The sequence below is a fragment of the Homo sapiens genome, chromosome 2 (assembly GCF_000001405.40).
Source record: "Homo sapiens chromosome 2, GRCh38.p14 Primary Assembly".
Taxonomy (NCBI): Eukaryota; Metazoa; Chordata; class Mammalia; order Primates; family Hominidae; genus Homo; species Homo sapiens.
The window spans coordinates 7,476,412-7,480,738 of NC_000002.12; the positions used below are offsets into that span (position 1 = coordinate 7,476,412).

General features: G+C 35.3%; 1 long non-coding RNA gene across 1 annotated transcript; it reads left to right on the top strand.

Annotated features, from left to right (window-relative positions):
* The first annotated feature begins 336 nt into the window (after positions 1-336).
* On the top strand, positions 337-2,240 carry LOC105373407 (uncharacterized). The gene is made up of 3 exons (XR_922748.1): positions 337-403; positions 1,043-1,081; positions 2,161-2,240. It is a non-coding gene; the product is annotated as an uncharacterized LOC105373407 (long non-coding RNA).
* The last annotated feature ends 2,087 nt before the right edge of the window (positions 2,241-4,327 follow it).

Here is a 4,327-nt window from a genome sequence, read left to right on the forward strand (position 1 = left end):
TCTTTTGTATTAGGTTATCTCTGCTCCTCTCCTAAATTAGTGAATGCCATTTATTCCATGAGTGGTGAAACTCAGGGCTAGAAATATCTATAAGAATTAAAAAAATGCACCAGAAGAGAGTTAAACAACATTATCCCCTTACATCATGTTTTCTTTTGCAGAGGAAAGTGAAAGGAGTGGATACAGTATTGCCCTGGGAACCCTGCAAAGCTCAGGACAATTATAAACATGTGTGATCATTCTTGGGGGTTATTTGTTTGAATTAGGTATTCCCTTATCAAACTGATGAGCCTAATGTGTGTGTAATCTCCCCACAGAGCCTGGGTCTCCCTGGAGGAAGGCACAGAGTTGCACAACCCACGAAGGGACCCTTAAAGCAATCGGGAGCTCCACCTGAGCCCAGGTATGGCAGGCTGACCTGTGACCTACCTCAGAGCCCAGAATGAAGGAGCCAAAAGCTAGCCAGCATTGAAACAGACACTGTGCCCTGCCTCTGGAGTCATGCAGGCCTACTTCCCTCATCCCCCCTTCCTGAGGGAGCCATGATAGAAGAAAGCCCAGATGAGGAAACTCTCAGGACTGAATTTGCATTTTAGACTCGACCTCTGGGCAAAAGGACTCATGGGTTTCGAGAAAGTGTAAGAGGTGATCATATAGGTTCTCCGTGCTTGGCACCTGTGTCTAGGAGTATTTGAAAGAAATGTTTAAAGGCCACTGGTTACTGCTTAGTTTTTGTTACAGCAAACTTTGAAAGCCATGTGTAGAAGCCTGGAATATCATTAAAAATAGGTTACAATAAAATACAATTCTACTTGTTTCTGGGTCTTGAACTGTCCACATCAAGTATGGAAATAGACATATAGAAAGCCCTTCTTCTATTATTTCTGGCATATAATTCCAGCATTAAAGAGTTAATATCAACTTGTTACTCTCTCACAAATAAACAGAGAGATTGAGTGCAGTTCCAGGAAATGATTCTTCTATAGAATGGCCTTGGTTTGTTGTTGTTGTTGTAGTTGTTTTGTTTTGCTTTATTTTTCAGATTGATTCCAAGTGTTGAAAGCCCAAAAAATTACTATAGGTAAGTAAGAAAAAGAAAACACACCCGTTCTTTTTCATTTGGCTTATAAATATTGAAGTTGTTTTTCTTTATTTTTATTCCGTATTTATACATGTTCTGACTTGATTATATCTGCCTTATTTTCACAAAAGCAGCTTACAATTAAAGAACAAGTAGGATTAAAATCCATAGAGGCTGAGAAAGAGAAAGAGAAAGAAAAAGAAGAAAAGAGCAAGGAGAGAAAAAGATGATACAGAAATAGAGTATTGAGCTTCCTACCAACCATGACACATGCTATGTCATTCTATGAATGCTGTTAATGACATAGCATAAATGACACAGCATTCACTATTTAATAATAGAATTCATTCCATTTCATAGGAGAGCAAAATCATTTCCAGCCTCAAACTTCTGAGAAAAATACATCATATAAAACCTTTATGTATGTGACATTTGGAATATGATAGAACAAGTCTTCACTAATCATTCTTTACAAATGCAGAGAAATTTTATGGACTTGTTTTTTATTTCACTGGCTTCCGGGGTAAGCCAGTAGACAGTTTCAGTTCATAGTAATTCTTTAAGAAAATCCTGGTGCTGGGGCTGATGGCTGCAGAGACAGCGAAAGATATTGGTCCCAGGTATGTAGCTTTTTAAAAATTCGACTAAATTTATGGGAAAAACAAAACAAAGTAACAACAACAAAAACCTCTAAGGCCGGGTGCAGTGGCTCACGCCTGTAATCCCAACATTTTGGGAGGCTGAGGGGGGCAATCTCTTGAGGTCAGGAGTTCAAGACCAGCCTGGCCAACATGGTGAAACCCTGTCTCCACTAAAAGTACAAAAATTAGCCAGGTGTAGTGGCATGCAAGTGGCGTGCACCTGTAATCCCAACTACTCAGGAGGCTGAGGCAGGAGAGTCACTTGAACCCAGGAGGCAGAGGTTGCAGTGAGCTGAGATTGTGCAACTGCACTCCAGCCTGGGTGACAGAGCTAGACTCAATCTCAAAAAATAAAAAAAAAAAAAAAATAATAATAATAATAAAAAACATAGAAAATACAGTGAATAGTTAACAGAATTATTAGCTCATTTCTTTCAGATCCCAATTGTCTCAGATGGCTTTGTGGTAAGACCTCCCAGCAGGCCACTCAAATGACTGTCATCTGTGAGGACCAGAAGGGCAGACATTTTGTGTTACTGACTGAAGAAAGATCAATATGCTCTACCAAGGTCAGAGAAAAGCATTCCTTCTTTTTGTGAAAAATGAAAGATTGTGACAGAAAATCTTCCTTGATGAAAGATTTCCTCAGATTTGTGGTGAGAAGGAGCGGGGGTGTCTACAGACCGGGCTGGCATCTCCCGCCCCACATTAGAGCATCTGAATTAAAGGAGAGTGTGAAAATGAGCACATGCCAACCCCAGAAGTAAAAGAAGTAGAGAAAAATACACCAAAAGAAAGTACGTAAGAATTAATAAAGACTGAAACTGAGATTATTCCACTAGAAAACATAGCAAACAAAAAGCCAATGCAACAACGAGTAAAAGTAGACATTATTTTTTAATGAAAAGTCTAATAAAAACAAGGAAAATGTAAGCACTGGGTAAAATCATTTATCAAAAACCAGGAGCAAATATTATATTAAAAGAATAATTGCTTAAAAAAGTTTTACTAAAATCAAGAAAAAATATAAGGATATCAATTATTTAAAATGTTTTGATAGGGGATATGTGATATAATTAAAAAAATAAAATTAATGGTATATCTAAAATAAAGATATTATCCTTAATTGCAGATATTGCTATATATTTAGAAAATAAAAGAACTTCAATTAAAATAGTTAGAACTGATAGATAATTTTCATATGCAGCAGGATATAGGAGATTTGTAGTAACATCTATCAATTGTCAGAGAATGAAATGAAACAATAACTAATGGAATTCATCCATATAGTGACATAAATACAAAGTCCATAATATTAAATGCAAAAATAAATATGTAAATCCCATGTGCAATAAACTATATTTTATGGAAAAATATTAAGAATCCAATTAAGAATCACAAGCCCTGTTCCAAGTTAAAATGTCAATTCTCCAAAATAAATAATTAAACCCAGTAATATTTCTTTCTTACACTTAACAGGGGCATATTTGGGAGTTGGACAAATTGAATATAAAGTTTATATAAAAGAATAAATGTGTGAGGATTGCCAAGAACAATGTGAAATCTTTGCATAATTGAGGTGGTTTTGTCTTATCAGATATTAAAACATTCTAAGAAGTTACCATTATAACAAAATATGGCTATCCCAGAAGAACAAAACATAAGAATGATAAATATATCCAAGAATGCATGAAATTTAATCCATAGTGCATTTGGTATTGCAAATATGTAAGAAAAAAACTGGGTTTCTCCCAAATTATGTTGAGAAAATGGAGCAAACATTTGGAGAAAAAATAAGTTTGATCACTACTTTACAGCATACATAAATTACAAAAAGTAAAATGTTCAAAAACTGCAAGCTTATTCAAAGTAATATGAGATTATTTTGAAGCATTTGTGGAGGAAGTCTTCCTAAGTATAATAAGAAAGCTTAAAGCTACTGAACAAATAATGACCAATTTAATATTTAAACATTCAAACTTCTATAAATCAAACATCACAGAAACTTAGTCAAAGAATAATCTACAGAGAAAGTATGTGTAACATATGTGACGAAGTTTTAGTATCACTAAAATATGTAAGTTCTTAAAATTTGTTTTAAAGACACAAACATAATTAGAAAAATATTGAGAAGATATGAAAAGTTGATTGATGAAAAAAAGAAGTCAAAAGTCAATAAGTGGGAAAAGCAAGTTATACAATAGATTCAAGGCCATTATTTGCCCATAAATTGATAAATGGAAAAAATGATTGACAGCATCTAATGGGAGCATAAGAAATTCACATACATTGTAGATAGGAGTGTAAATATCCTCATATTCTCACTTCTCTCTTTCTCCAGCTTAGATTGATACAGCTTCAGATGCCCTAAGATTTCATTATAATGCACCTGCAAAAGGCCTAATCCAAACCCCTGTGAAATTCAAATCTCTGCCTTCTCTATGGCTGCCCCTGAGCAGCTGGATTTTACTGATGACACACACATGCACCCACACAGACACACTCATGCACATGTACACTCATGCACACATGCAACCACAGGCAGACAATTTGATGAATTCAGTTCTTGTTCTCTCTTCTCTGCCATCCTATTATTCTGACACAC